Genomic DNA, 15,129 nt, shown 5'->3' with positions numbered 1-15,129 from the left:
GCCCTCCCCCCCCTGCCCAGCAATTTTTCTCTTAAACAGGTGGCTGGAGCTAAAGGCGTAGTCAAGGTTAATGCTCCTTTTTCTTTATCCGACCTCTCCCAAATCAGTTAATGTTTAGGCTCTTTTTCATCAAATATAAAAACCCAGCCCAGTTCATGGCTCGTTTGGCAGCACCCCTGAGACGCTTTACAGCCCTAGACCCTAAAAGGTCAAAAGGCCGTCTTATTCTCAATATACATTTTATTACCCAATCTGCTCCCGACATTAAATAAAACTCCAAAAATTAAATTCCGGCCCTCAAACCCCACAACAGGACTTAATTAACCTGGCCTTCAAGGTGTACAATAATAGAAAAAAGCTGCAATTCCTTGCCTCCACTGTGAGACAAACCCCAGCCACATCTCCAGCACACAAGAACTTCCAAACACCTGAACCACAGTGGCCAGGCATTCCTCCAGAACCTACCCCAGGAGCTTGCTACAAGTGCCGGAAATCTGGCCACTGGGCCAAGGAATGCCCGCAGCCCAGGATTCCTCCTAAGCCGCATCCCATCTGTGCAGGACCCACTGAAAATTGGACTGTTCAACTCACCTGGCAGCCACTCCCAGAGCTCCTGGAACTCTGGCCCAAGGCTCTCTGACTCCTTCCCAGATCTTCCCGGCTTAGCAGCTGAAGGCTGACACTGCCCAATCGCCTCGGAAGACCCCTAAACCATCACGGACGCCGACCTTCAGGTAACTCTCACAGTGGAAGGTAAGTCTGTCCCCGTCTTAATCAATATGGAGGCTACCCACTCCACATTACCTTCTTTTCAAAGGCCTGTTTCCCTTGTCTCCATAATTGTTGTAGGCATTGATGGCCAGGCTTCTAAACCTCTTAAAACTTTCCAGCTCTGGTGCCAATTTAGACAATACTCTTTTAAGCACTCCTTTTTAGTTATCCCCACCTGCCCAGTTCCCTTATTAGGCCGAGACACTTTAACTAAATTATCTGCTTCCTTGACTATTCCTGGACTACAGCCACACCTCATTGCCAGCTTTTCCCCCAGTTCAAAGCCTCCTTCACATCCTCCCCTTGTATCTCCCCACCGTAACCCACAAGTATAAAACACATCTACTCCCCACTTAGTGATCGATCATGCACTCCTTACCATCCCATTAAAACCTAATCACCCTTACCCGGCTCAATGCCAATATCCCATCCCACAGCATGCTTTAAAGGATTAAAGCCTGTTATCACTTGCCTGTTAGAGCATGGCCTTTTAAAGCCTATAAACTCTCCTTACCATTCCCCCATTTTACCTGTCCTAAAACCAGACAAGGCTTACAGGTTAGTTCAGGATCTGCACCTTATCAACCAAATTGTTTTGCCTATCCACCCCGTGGTGCCAAACCCATATACTCTCCTATCCTCAATACCTCCTCCTACAACCCATTATTCTGTTCTGGATCTCAAACATGCTTTCTTTACTATTCCTTTGCACCCCTCATCCCAGCTTCTCTTCGCTTTCACTTGGACTGACCCTGACACCCATTAGGCTCCGCAAATTACCTGGGCTGTACTGCCACAAGGCTTCACAGACAGCCCCCATTACTTCAGTCAAGCCCAAATTTCATCCTCATCTGTTACCTATCTCGGCATAATGCTCATAAAAACACACGTGCTCTCCCAGCTGATCGTGTCCGACTAATCTCCCAACCTCAATCCCTTACAAAACAACAACTCCTTTCCTTCCTAGGCATGGTTAGTGTGGAAAGAATTCTTACACAAGAGCTGGGACCGCACCCTGTAGCCTTTCTGTCCAAACAACTTGACCTTACTGTTTTAGCCTAGCCCTCATGTCTGCGTGCAGCAGCTGCCGCTGCTTTAATACTTTTAGAGGCCCTAAAAATCACAAACTATGCTCAACTCACTCTCTACATTTCTCATGACTTCCAAAATCTATTTTCTTCCTCACACCTGACACATATACTGCCTGCTCCCCGGCTCCTTCAGCTGTACTAACTCTTTGTTGAATCCCACAATTACCATTGTTCTTGGCCCCGACTTCAATGCAGCCTCCCACATTATTCCTGATACCACACCTGACCCCCATGACTGCATCTCTCTGATCCACCTGACATTCACCCCATTTCCCCACATTTCCTTCTTCCCTGTTTCTCACCCTGATCACACTTGATTTATTGATGGTGGTTCCACCAGGCCTAATCGCCACACACCAGCAAAGGCAGGCTATGCTATACTACTAGCCACTAGCCCACCTCTCAGAACTTCTCATTTCCTTTCCATAGTGGAAATCTATCCTCAAGGAAATAACTTCTCAGTGTTCCATCTGCTATTCTACTACTCCTCAGGGATTATTCAGGCCCCCTCCCTTCCCTACACATCAAGCTCAGAGATTTGCCCCTGCCTAGGACTGGCAAATTAGCTTTACTCAACATGCCCCAAGTCAGATAACTAAAATACCTCTTAGTCTAGATAGACACTTTCACTGGATGGGTAGAGGCCTTTCCTACAGGGTCTGAGAAGTCCACCACGGTCATTTCTTCCCTTCTGTCAGACATAATTCCTCAGTTTGGGCTTCCCACCTCTATACAGTCTGATAACAGACCAGCCTTTATTAGTCAAATCAACCAAGCATTTTTTTAGGCTCTTGGTATTCAGTGAAACCTTTATATCCCTTACGGTCCTCAGTCTTCAGGAAAGGTAGAACGGACTAATGGTCTTTTAAAAACACAGCTCACCAAGCTCAGCCACCAATTTAAAAAGGACTGGACAATACTTTCACCACTTTCCCTTCTCAGAATTCAGGCCTGTCCTCGGAATGCTACAGGGTACAGTCCATTTGAGCTCCTGTTTGGATGCTCCTTTTTATTAGGCCCCAGTCTCATTCCAGACACCAGACCATCTTGGACTGTGCCCCAAAAAACTTGTCATCCCTACTATCTTCTGTCTAGTCATACTCCTATTCACCGTTCTCAACTACTCAGACATGCCCTGCTCTTGTTTACACTGCCGGTTTACACTACTTCTCCAAGCCATCACAGCTGATACCTCCTGGTGCTATCCCCAAACTGCCACTCTTAACTCTTGAAGTAAATAAATAATCTCTGCTGGCAGGACTATGCTGAACCTCCTTAGGCACTCTCTAATTAGATGTCCTGGGTCCTCCCAATTCTTAGACCTTTAATACCTGTTTTTCTCCTTCTCTTATTCTGTTTAGTCTTTCAATTCACACAAAACCGTATCCAGGCCATCACCAATAATTCTAAATGACAAATCTTTCTTCTAACAGTCCCACAATATCACCCCTTACCACAAAATCTTCCTTCAGCTTAATCTCTCTCACTCTAGGTTCCCACGCCACCCCTAATCCCGCTCGAAGCAGCCCTGAGAAACACCGCCCATTATCTCTCCATACCATCCCCAAAATTTTTGCCGTCCCAACACTTTACTAGTATTTCATTTTATTTTTCTTATTAATATAAGAAGACAGGAATGTCAGGCCTCTGAGCCCAAGCTAAGCCATCATATCCCCTGTGACCTGCACGTACATATCCAGATGGCCAGTTCCTGCCTTAACTGATGACATTCCACCACAAAAGAAATGAAAATGGCCTGTTCCTGTTTTAACTGATGACATTATCTTGTGAAATTCCTTCTCCTGGCTCAAAAGCTCCCCTACTGAGCACCTTGTGACCCCCACTCCTGCCTGCCAGAGAACAACCCCTCTTTGACTGTAATTTTCCTTTACCTACCCAAATCTTATAAAATGGCCCCACCCCTATCTCCCTTTGCTGACTCTCTTTTCAGACTCAGCCTGCCTGCACCCAGGTGAAATAAACAGCCTTGTTGCTCACACAAAGCCTGTTTGGTGGTCTCTTCACAGGGATGCTAGTGAAATGCTTCACCTGGGAGCCTGTGCTGGGATCAGAACCTCAGGCTCCTCCCAGGCCTCCTGCCCTGGAAACTTCAGGCGACAAGACCCCAGGTGTTGCACCAGCACATTCAGGCTCAGCGACTCTTCTCTCTTCCCAATGGGTCCTGCGCCTCTGCTGTTGTTGCAGAGGGCTGTGTACCCAAGTGAGCTGCGCGTGGTGGGGAAGGGGGGCAATGAGAGAGAAAGACTAACCTTTAATTTTTCGTCTTTACAGCAAACGTTTCCCCAGTCTATTGCTCTTCCTTTTATTTTAGTTTTGTTCATTTTTTATGAATATATTTTTGGATCCTATTAATATTTAAAAGATTGTGATGGTGGGAGCCTGCCTTGGCTCTTACTTGGGAACGAAGCGCATCCCTCCACCCCCCACCCCTCCCGCTTTGGCTCTGTTGCCAGCACCTCTGCAGGCAGCCCTCCCCTGAGTGTGTGATTTCATCAGCTCAGAGACATGCAGTTTCAGCAGCATCACAGAAGGGTGGAGTGGAAAGACGCTGCACCCACCTTCTGCAGAGCAGCTCCACGCACTGGGGGAGAGCAAGGAACTTATATCTGCCCTAGCAGTGATCGGGGCCCATCTTGCAAGGCTTCATAAATATTTAACAATGAGCACTTTGTAAAGAAGAGTGTTATTAAGGGTGGTGCCGCCAGCCGCTTCAAATGTGCCTGTATATCAGGAGCTGCTAATGCTCTGTGGACAGAACCCTTTTGCAATAGCCCTAGGCAAATCAACTCCTTATCTTTTAAGGGAGTAGGGAAATAATTTAGAGGAATTTGTAAACATTTCTGACCCTCAAAGGAAGAAAGCTGGATCCTCTCCTAATAGAGAATGGCGTTCCAATGAATCATTTATCTAAGACAGAAAAATCAGTGACCAGAAAGAAAAAAAATATATACATACCTCCCCCACGCTTGCATCCCCGGGATGCTCACACCGAGCAGCAGCTGCCCGGCCAGTGTTTAGTGAGACTTCTTTTACTCTGGTGCTACCAGATGAATCTTTTATCACCGTGGAAGCCAGTCCCAGGCCACTTATTTCAACACTTCAAGCTTTAATGATACTGGTTCAGTTTTCTTTACTCTATGGATTGGATACACCACATTGCAATTCAAATCACCCCAAACACCACAGTAAGCATGAGGTGATCACATTTCTTCCTAAGTGTAAATGGCTCTCCACAGGGGACTCATTCTGGGAGCTGGGGGCTGGGACAGCATTGCCCTGGCAACTTCTTTTTTCCCCAGATGATCATCACTGGAGGTAAATGCTTGGAAGATTAAAGTCTCCAATCCATGTGGCACAAACTCCTGTTAGCTCAGGAAAATATCCTCCATTGACCAACTTTAGTACAACCAATAAATCACAAGGATTGTAAAATGAAAGGTGTGTGTGTATGCATATCATGCTTATTACACTTTCCCAGTAAAAGTCTGCTTTCTTTTTTCTCATGATAAACCTCCTTGTGAAGAGTCTGAAAAGTTAAATTGACTAGTTTAAGATTACCCATATAAGCTCGCAAAAGAGCACTTGGGTGTTGGCTATTATAAGACGCTTCCTCCCAAGGCCTACCAGAAAAGAAATTGACTTCAGAGCCCTTCTGTAGATTGTATTTCTATAAGAATAACCATTTCCGTGGAACTCACCTTTCACAGGATCCTAGGACTATGCACTTGAATGTGAGCCCCTTAAGTAAAGTAGGGGTCCATCTACCTTGTCACCAGTGGTTCTGCATCAGTAAATTGCCCAGAGCATGACCAATTGCCATTTGTTTGCTGAGAACAGGTAGGAGAACGTAGAGAAAATGCCAGTGTGCTAGCTGAACCGTATACCAACTTACCCCACAAACCTAGCCTACATATTCATGAGCAAGCACTTTCCAATGTATATGCTTTGTTCCAAGTTGTAATCAAAAAGTTCATTTTTAAGTTAGTTGCTTGGGACCTGGAATAAACTTTCCCATAGAAACGATGTTATAAATAGTGCTCTAGCCTAGCCCACAAATGCACATCTAACTCAAAATGTGCTACTGGTATTATGGAGTTGCAAGGAAACTTTGTAGAAAACAACAGTTCAATACCCATAATTAAACCAAACAGTAGAACAATAAAAATGTTTCTCTCCCTCTCCCTGTCTGTCTCTTTCTCTTTCACACACACTCTTTCTCTCTCTGTCTCTCTCACATACATACACACACACGGAAGTTCATTCTTGAGGAAAGTAAGATTAACTGGACAGGAATGAGGAGGTAGTGGAGACGGTGCAGTGCTCTTGAAGGAGGCTTTAGGTTATGTCAAGAGCTGTTGAGGCTGATGGTTCAGGCTGCTGAATGCACCTCATTTCACTTCAAAGCTTATGCCTTGACTTTTGCTTGATACAGGTATATAGCTGGCACTACTTCTACTTATCCCCCGTAATTAAAGTTGGTTTTTGCTTTTCCCTTCTGATTGAGAAAGGGAGCAAGAGAAACAGGGTGAGGCAGGGAGGAAAAGAAGAAGTTGAGAGGCCAGGAAGACAAAAGGGGGGAGACATTTCTTGAAGCAACTAAGCAAGGGATCCAAATGAAGGGGAAAAATTAGAAGTTTAAAGAACATCTGTATTTGTGAGTGAAAGATCATCTCAGAGGTGTCAGATGAATCAATCACAAGATGGAGAGTGGGGAGAGAGGAAGAGAGAGAAGGAGAATATGTCTACTCCCATGAAGAGGGGGCGACACCTTAAGTAGTGTTTTTGCAGGTAGTTAGAGGACAGGATCTTTGCTGTTGATTGACACCAGTGAGACAGGGGACCACCTTGGGGTGAAGCGGAGTAGGTAAGGATAATGAACAGCTGCCCCTCCACTCATAAGGGCCTGTGCTAACTTCAGAACCTAAAGGACAGCTCTGATGTTACTGGAGGTGAATTATTTCCTTGAGGGTTTTCATCACCATCATTTCTTCCATCATCGAAGTATGCCCCAGTCATCCAGTCTTCCTGAGTGGCTCTCTCCTGTTAGAAAGTCCAGCACAGTCCTCCGGATTTCCGAATCCCCTGGGCTCTCAGTCTCCCTCTTCTTCCCTCCGCCATCCTAGCTCTGCATTTCTTCACCTCAATCTGCTCCTCATGCCCCAAATATCCATTTTCAAGGACGGCTGTTTTGGAGAAAAGAGGGAAATGTTAGGCTCTAAGAGAAACTGTATCAAATTTAATTCCAGATGCCACTATTCCTAAATAGTCACTGATTTGTCTCGGAGCACAGGGGCTCCCCTCTCCCCTGTCTTTGGGAATTGCCCTGAAGCCACAGGGCATGGTCTTGTCCTGTCCTCTATCCCCAGAGCACCTATCATTGTCAGACTACCTAGGCTCCTGGGGTGCCTAAATTCCATTCCTTTCCATGCAATTTCCAATAACTTTCAGGACAATAGCAACTTATTACTATGTAAAAGCATATAATTGTCCCAATCATGCCCATGTGGGGTTCAGCAGGTGCATGTTACCAAGCTTCCCCACCTTCCTCTGCTCACTGGAAGAGAAAAGACAATAGCCATGTGGAAGAATTCTCAGAACTGCAGTCACCATGGAGTACGGATCATGCCCTCCAGGGCCCTTGCTCTGGGGGCTTGACCCATTAGTAGGAGGTCCTGCAAGATGACGGGAACTGGGAGCGAGATGAATATGGACTTTTATCTTCCAAGCAAGATGGAGACGATGACATGGGATGGTTTGTGTGAAAGAAACAACCTTGGAGGAAGGAAATCTAGAAGCTCCCAAGGGTCACTGAGTGCTCAAGCACCTTGGGCTCTGTTGAAGATCTGGCAAAGACCTGGAATTCCAGTTTGGACTGTACTGCTTTAAATGTGACACAGCTCTCTGGTCCAGGTTTTTGTTTTATTATGCAGAAGGATTTAATTCCTTTTTGTCTCAATCCTCCACTGCAGACTGGGCTTTGGAGCCTAACCCAAAGGCCTATTAATTGCCTTTCCTAAACAAAAGAGTCATCTTCCCTGAGATAAAACCTCTACTCCCTTATAATGCACAAGTGGATGAAGTCATTTTTTAAAATAGCAATCTTTTGCCCTCAGCTTACACTTATTCTCTGTGTTCCTCTACAATTCACATAGAGCTCCCATATAATCTCCCCCGATAACCCTCACCCCAAAAATAGATTCTTATTATTCAGGTAGTAGCTGCTTAATAGTAAAAATATTTTAATCTCCACCAAAAGAAAGTAAAACAGGAAAATATTGCCACCTGGAATGCTGGATCAAAGCTGAATGACAGTTGTCTTCCCATGACTGGCTGTTAGACCTGGGGAGGGTGGGAGCAAGCAGGAGGCAGGAAGACTAGGTACCTGTGGGCTGGACACACAGGGTCACCTGGAGCCGGGCTCAAGTGCACTAGGAAATTGACTGTACCTGCCATTGTTAAGAACACAGAAAGTGGCAGGTCCTCTTGGCAGCTCTGCCAAGTCTTCTTATTCTCTCCAGCCTGATGTCCTGAACCTCCAGCCTGATCTCCTGAACCATGGTGGGTCCTTTATTTTCCTGACTTTATGGCTTAACTTGGCTGTGTTATGAACTGAATGTTTGTGTCTCCCTCAAAATTCATGTGTTGAATTATGACCTCCAGTGTGATGGAGGTGGGGCCTTTGGGAGGTGATTAGAGCATGAGGGTGGAGAACTTAGGAATAGGATTAGTCCCCTTATAAAAGAGACCCCAGAAAGCTCTCTGATCCTCTTTTGCCAGGTAAGGATGCTGTGAGAAGACGGATGTCTAAACCAAGAAGCAAGAAATGGACCCTCATCAGAACAGAGTCTGCTGGCCCCTTGATCTTGGACTTCCAGCCTTCAGAAGTGTGAGAGATAACTGTTAGTTGTTCATAAGCCACCCAGTTTATGGTACTTCGTTATGACAGCTTGCAATGACTGGCAGCTGCCTTCCCTTTTCCTCCCCTTACTTCATACTTAGCTTGACGAAGTTGGGTGTGGCAAATAATTTGGGAGTGGGGATTTTTATCTTGAACTTCCCTGACCCTCCAAGTCCCATTATGGTAACTGAGCAGAAGGCTACCCAGTCTCCTTTTTTGGAATATCTACTTTAAGATTTCATTTGTGAAGACTGAAAAGAGTGAGCTGCAGATTTCATTTTGCTGTTATTTTAGTAGTGAATCCTAAATATAAAAGGATTATTCTGAAACAAGTTTACATGAATTTTGTAAAGAAAAAAATACAACAGATCTATTGTCAAGAAAGATATAATTAAGTGATGCAAATGCAATTGACGAATTTGAAATTAATTAATTTGACCTGGCTTACAATAATACAAAGAGTTACAATGCCCCAAAAAATTCCGTTATGTTTTCTTCATAGTCACATGTAACTTTAAATGCTCTTCACAGAATGACAAGATAGAAAAATTGAAGTTATAGCAGAGATGCCAAGATGCAGTAGGTAGAAAATTCCAAAGTAAGTGGTCAGACAGTGTAGATTACACAAGGAAATTAATAAAAACTCTGTACAGTGCTACACTTTTCCTGCTTTCAGGACATAAAGGGTCAAGGGAGGATATGATGGGTTTTCCTTTACCAATAGCTATCACTGTGCTTTCAGACTCAGCCCCTGGGGGTAGTGGGTGGAGGAGCTTCCTTCTTTTCCCAAGAGAGGTTGTAAGGCTGAGTTTCTAGTGGTCAGTGTCAGGGCAAGTGGCCAGAACCTGACTCACAGGGAAAGGTGGAATAGGAAGGTGGCCCCAATTAGCCTGCACTCCCAGTTAATCTGAGTGAGCAATGCTTCCTACACTCAGGCATGGCCATGCCAGAGCAAGAGAGCTGGGCCTGACCTCCTTTGAGTCTTGCCCAAGAAGGCTCCCGCCAGAGTGTGAGAGAAATACAATGGCAAGGAGGATCCGTGGGACCTCATATTGTTGTTTTGCCATGAACATGCACCTTTCCTCAGCTGCCAGGGCCTGATTGCTCTACGGGGAAGGGAAGGACGCCCCTATTCCTGTGACCATCCTTCCTCCTAGGTTCCTCTGCCCAGCCCCATCAGAGGCTGTCTTCAAGTTCCAAGGGGGTTGGGAGGAAGGTTACTGTCACACTGGTGCAGGGTTGATTTAATGTTAAATTCAGTTCAGAATGGTGATGAAAATCCTAGACTGCATATTCTAATTTCCAAACTCAGATTGCATTTGTAACTTAAATAGAAGATCTGTTGCTTAAGAACTAATCTGGTATTGAACCAGCCAGCCACAGTACTGTCACAGAGATTGCCTACTGCCTGTGTTCATTCTGACTGGCCAGTGTGTATACCTGCTTAACAGTGAGCAAAAATGTCATGAGCCTGTCAGGATTTTCTTCACATACAGGTAGAGATTACAATACTATAAGGAAAAACCTTTTAAAATATTGAATAAAATGTGAGATTTCAAGCTTTTTAGACCAACTTAATGTACTTCAAACTTGTTTGCATGCTCTTTTGTATTTTTTTATCTGCTCTTTAATCTATGCTATCGGTGTCACCATTTGGATTTCAAGAAAATAATCCAATCAAGCATATGCTGAAATTGGGTAGGAATGAAAGACCACTAAGAGACAGGAGTAATTCAGGAGTTAATAATCATTTAAAACAGTTTTTCAAATTATCAATTATGATCCATTAATTAGCTATGAAATAAATCTAGTGAGCTATGGTTGAGTGTTTTTGTAAGTGAAATTGAATAGATGAAATAAAATAGGAAAAGACAGATTAGAATATAAAATGTCAGAGTACATCCTCCATCTTAAGATTAAATGTTATTCAGTGATTCTTTTGTTTGTTATGTGAGTATGTGAGTGTATAGTTCTGTGTGTGTTCTGAGCTGAAGCTATAAAATCTATTTCATACAGGGCTTCAGTCAAAAAAATGTTGAAAGCCTCTGAATTCCAGCATATACAAAATCCATAAAAAAAAGTCAGGAATCAAAAGCACAAAGGCAGCATGAGAAATAGCATAGAACAAGGAAAAGGGAATAATACACGTAGGGATCAGACAAGTTCCTGGTTTCTGCAGCCAGCCCATTTTCATTCTATTTTTCTAGAGTAGAAGGTAGTGCACTCACCCAGAGCTCCTTAAAAGGCATCTTACTCATTTCACCTTTGTCAACAGAAGGAAGAAGGAAAGGAGAAAGAAAGCGAAGGATAAAGACAAAAGAGAAGGAAGAAAGAAAAAAATTAAAAAGCAAGCATGTTAGTGAAGACAGGTGGGGAAACTGTCACCCCCATCCCCCTTTTAAAACAATCTCCACCTACTCAGGATCTGGAGGACGTGTGCCTATAAATGACCACTTTCAAATGAAGGAAGTTCCAAGTTACAATTAATGAACAGTACAAACCACTTTGCAGTGTTGTCACACATGACATATAAAAGGTTGTGATACTAACAAAGTGATCGCACTATGTGGAATGCCCTGGTAATTAACCTTATACGCTGTTTTATTGAACACTCCTCTTGTGCTGATCGAGGAAAACTGACATGTGTCGATAGAGTTTGCAGGAATATTTCACTACACGTGGCATCTTCCCAGGGTTTATATTGACTGGAGAAGACACTATCATGCAGGATGAGCTACACTCGGGGCCGCCACTTTGTGCCGACTTTAGGTGGCACCTTCCCAGTGTACGCGACGGGAACGGCACTCCCTGGAGTCCTGAAACGCAGTGGCCCTGACTACGCACAGCTGGGGCTCCAGGGCTTCTGCTACAGTGCCCCCTGACGGCCAGAACCCCATCTGCATCTGGGCATTGAGTGTTAGGTATTGATTTTTGCCACTACAGGTGGTCCCAGCTTAATCTTCGTGTGCTCCCACCATGGCCTTCTCCTGGGCTGCTGAGGTCTCTTGACTTCCAGGTAGCGAGTATGGCCTCATTTTTATAGTATCCCTAAGTCATCTGGTGGGGCTGATTCCAAGAAAATCTTTTTTTTTTTTTTTTTCAGTACGCTGCCAACAAAAGCCTCATCCTATCTCCTCCCTCAAGTGTACTTTTTCAAGGGCTGGGGAAGCCTGCAGAGCATCTGCAGTCAAACCCTTTCTAGCGCACCCAGCTGTCATTGACCTTCCTCTCAGCACTTAGGTTTTTGCACCACCTAATTGAGCTCTCATTAACTGCTATCTGTGCTGCTCACTGTAGTCTCGTGTATTCCTGTTAGTCTTGGCTCCTTAGAGTGTGAATTCCACAGTCTTTGGTATCCTTTACAGCAGCCAGCCCCCTGCAGTGCCTGAAAGTACTAGCCACACTTAGAGGTCAGTTGCAAGAAATTAGTTCTTTGAGCATCCTCCTCTTTATGTGTGAAAAGTGCTTTGAGGACCAATGGAACCCTTTTGGAGAACTTATGAATGCTTTGATCATGGTTTCTGAAAACATGAAACAGACAAAATAAAAATAAAAACAAAATATATATGTGCTTTGCACACATCGGTTTTCTTAACACTCACCATAACCCTATTTGATAGGTATTTTTTCACCACAGTTTAACTGAAAAAGAAATGGAAAACCAAAGAGGTTAATTTCTCCAAAGTTGTAAATCTAGCAAATAGCAGAGCCTGGACCCCAAGTCTGTATTCTTCAAGAAAATAGTCTCTCGTGTAGGTTATCCCTGTCTTAAACTTTAAATAACTCAGATAGATTAAAAAATGCTTCACCTCTGCCAAGGAGTCATTCCAGTCCTCAGGAAGCCTGAGGGCATTCCTTCTAGGGAACTATTAGCTAGTTATCCAGGAGCTAAAGGGCTTCGGGCTGTGTCCCATGGCCTCACAGTGGGCACTGGTCTTTCATAAGAAAATCACCTACAACTATCAAGATGCCAGAGAGGCAATGGAAAAAGACATGATTCAAGTGAGTCACAAAATCTGGAGGAAAATAACAAAGAAATCCAGATTCAAAAGATTTAAACAAACAAATGAAGATACAATAGTAAGGCGAAGTAATTGAAGAAATACACAAAGCAGGTCAGAATATACGGACAGCTTTCTACAGACCTGATATTCTTTTAGAATATCAGCACTTAGGTTCATTGCTATGGGCTCATTGCTACAGGAAACAGAACTCAAGGATTACATGGCCAGAAGGTTAAGTACTGCCAAACCCAAGTGAAGCTACAATAATGATTTTAAAATTGTATTGAGCACATATTATGCTCAGCACTGCATTCAACTTTTAATTTATGTATATTGCCTAAACTAATGAAAACCTGGTGAGGTTGATTGCATCAACAAATGGTCATTGGTCTTCTAGCCAATAGGAGTAGAGCAGTGAACAAAAGAGACAGCACTCTCTTTCCTGTTGGAGTTTACATCCTCATAGGAATGCATTATTAGAAGTAGGATTATTCCTATATGACAGATAAGTAACCCAAGGCTTACAAGGGTTAAGCAACTTGTCCGAATCACACAGCTACTTGATTGCAGAAGCCTCAGATTTAAATCCAAATCTGTCTGACTCCAAAGCCCAGATCGAGGCCCACCCTCCAATGCCTGCAGCTGCATTTGGAGTACATTGCCAGTTTAGCCACCTATAAGATCCCATTGTTAATTATCTTACTTACTGGAGCATTATACACACAGTCTTTATTGTCCATTCTGGCCCTTGATCATATTGTCATTTACTATTTTCTAAAAGTTTCATGGATGTAAGACTCGCTTGCCCACCTAAATTGAAAATTCCTAGAAGGTTGGACAAGATAATATATTTTGTAGTATTTCCCAGAGGACCTAGAATCTTACAGGGCTGGGCAGATGCATTTCACACAGGTTTTAAGCACCTGTTAATCTGCCAGGGCATAGTATTCAGCACCATGGAGAATTTTTTTAAAAATCAAATAAAATATTGTCCTTGCCATCCACAGTCTTATAACTTAGTGGACATGTCATTAAAAACTGACTGATGGAATTGTAGTTTCAACAAATCCTGTTTTTGAGAATTCATGAAGGACTGGATAAGGTTTCCAAACACAAGAAACAAATAAATGCAATGTATGTTTTAAAAAGGCAGGAAGGCGACTTGGAAAGTTAGAGATTGATAACAAAACCTGATTTTCCTATGAGAAAGACTCTCAGGGCAAATCAAAAGAGAATCAATTGGGAGACAGACAAACCGCAGAGTGCTGGGAAATACCAGTGTGGCTTTGAAAGAAGCACATTGTGTCTGACCCACCCAGGTTACTCCTGTCTCAAAGAGGAAGATGATTCTTGTAGAAGTGATGACACAATAAACATATTAGAGCTCAAGAACAGGAAGGTTGTTGATTCTGCCTATGTGACATCCTCATAAATAAGCTAACCAAATATAGCCTAGGAGACTGCCCTAGAAGGTGGGTGCACTCAGATGATTGTGATAACCAGCCAGCTGTCGGCCCAAGAAGACAAGAAAGAGGCACTGGGGAGGAATGTGTCCTGAGTCCTGAAGCATGTACAACTTCCATTGATGACGTTGGTGACAGGAGCAAGGAAGGGCTTATTAAGTCATGGGTGGCACTGGAAGTGGCATGCAGGCAGCTTCCTGTTGAACTGGACTGGAATTCTCTATGGCTGAGGCAGGTTATTAAAGAAATAGTTGAAAATGGGAACAGGTTAAATTTTAATAAAGAAAGCACGTAGGGAAAATTTAACTTCTGATCCTTCTCTTTCTCTCTCGATTTTACTCCTGGGAGCCAAGTGCGAAGGAAGCCTTCACTTGAAGCCAGGGACTCAGATGTGCAAGGGTTGCCTGGCTTTCAATTGGGAGTTGCTGTACTGGGACCTTGGTTTTCTCATCTGTGCAATGGGGTAACAGCTGGCCTGCTGCACAACCATCACCATGTGTGGATTAGCTCATTACTGATCATTCGGGACCCTAAAAATGCAAAGTGTTGCATAAATGCTAAGTATTATTATGCTTCACATAAAGGGCAAAGATTTTGACTTGGAAAGAAAATGGGAGGAAAAATTACAGAAGACAGAACAAGAATACACAGGAGAGAAGCTATTAGCCAGTTTAGGGCGTACAACTGCAAGGGCTTGATAATCATAAAACATCTGTGGTCATTTCCACTCACCTCTAGTTGCCGTGAGGGAGAAAGCAGTCTGTTTTCTTTAAGCAAAGAATAAGGAAAAGCAATAAAGTGAGCATCTGCCCTTGACAAGGTCAAGGAAATCTCTCAAATGTCATGCAATTTAGGATGTTCTAAATGAAGAAATTACTTAA

General features: G+C 43.7%; 5 annotated features.

The window, feature by feature from the left end:
- Nucleotides 1,441-1,940: an enhancer, noted in NCBI's record as "H3K27ac hESC enhancer chr11:131126385-131126884 (GRCh37/hg19 assembly coordinates)". NCBI's record gives its function as "activates a minimal SCP1, AML or CMV promoter by ChIP-STARR-seq in primed H9 embryonic stem cells {active_cell/tissue: H9 hESC(primed)}" and the evidence as "EXISTENCE:reporter gene assay evidence [ECO:0000049][PMID:30033119]".
- Nucleotides 3,447-3,947: an enhancer, noted in NCBI's record as "OCT4-NANOG-H3K27ac hESC enhancer chr11:131124378-131124878 (GRCh37/hg19 assembly coordinates)". NCBI's record gives its function as "activates a minimal SCP1, AML or CMV promoter by ChIP-STARR-seq in primed H9 embryonic stem cells {active_cell/tissue: H9 hESC(primed)}" and the evidence as "EXISTENCE:reporter gene assay evidence [ECO:0000049][PMID:30033119]".
- Nucleotides 4,450-4,950: an enhancer, noted in NCBI's record as "OCT4-NANOG-H3K27ac hESC enhancer chr11:131123375-131123875 (GRCh37/hg19 assembly coordinates)". NCBI's record gives its function as "activates a minimal SCP1, AML or CMV promoter by ChIP-STARR-seq in naive and primed H9 embryonic stem cells {active_cell/tissue: H9 hESC(naive and primed)}" and the evidence as "EXISTENCE:reporter gene assay evidence [ECO:0000049][PMID:30033119]".
- Nucleotides 4,951-5,453: an enhancer, noted in NCBI's record as "OCT4-NANOG-H3K27ac hESC enhancer chr11:131122872-131123374 (GRCh37/hg19 assembly coordinates)". NCBI's record gives its function as "activates a minimal SCP1, AML or CMV promoter by ChIP-STARR-seq in naive H9 embryonic stem cells {active_cell/tissue: H9 hESC(naive)}" and the evidence as "EXISTENCE:reporter gene assay evidence [ECO:0000049][PMID:30033119]".
- Nucleotides 11,737-12,382: an enhancer, noted in NCBI's record as "NANOG-H3K4me1 hESC enhancer chr11:131115943-131116588 (GRCh37/hg19 assembly coordinates)". NCBI's record gives its function as "activates a minimal SCP1, AML or CMV promoter by ChIP-STARR-seq in naive H9 embryonic stem cells {active_cell/tissue: H9 hESC(naive)}" and the evidence as "EXISTENCE:reporter gene assay evidence [ECO:0000049][PMID:30033119]".

Source organism: Homo sapiens, chromosome 11, assembly GCF_000001405.40.
Source record: "Homo sapiens chromosome 11, GRCh38.p14 Primary Assembly".
NCBI classification, from domain to species: Eukaryota; Metazoa; Chordata; class Mammalia; order Primates; family Hominidae; genus Homo; species Homo sapiens.
The sequence above is the reverse complement of the archived record's forward strand: the minus strand, read 5'-3'. Positions and strand labels throughout refer to the sequence as shown.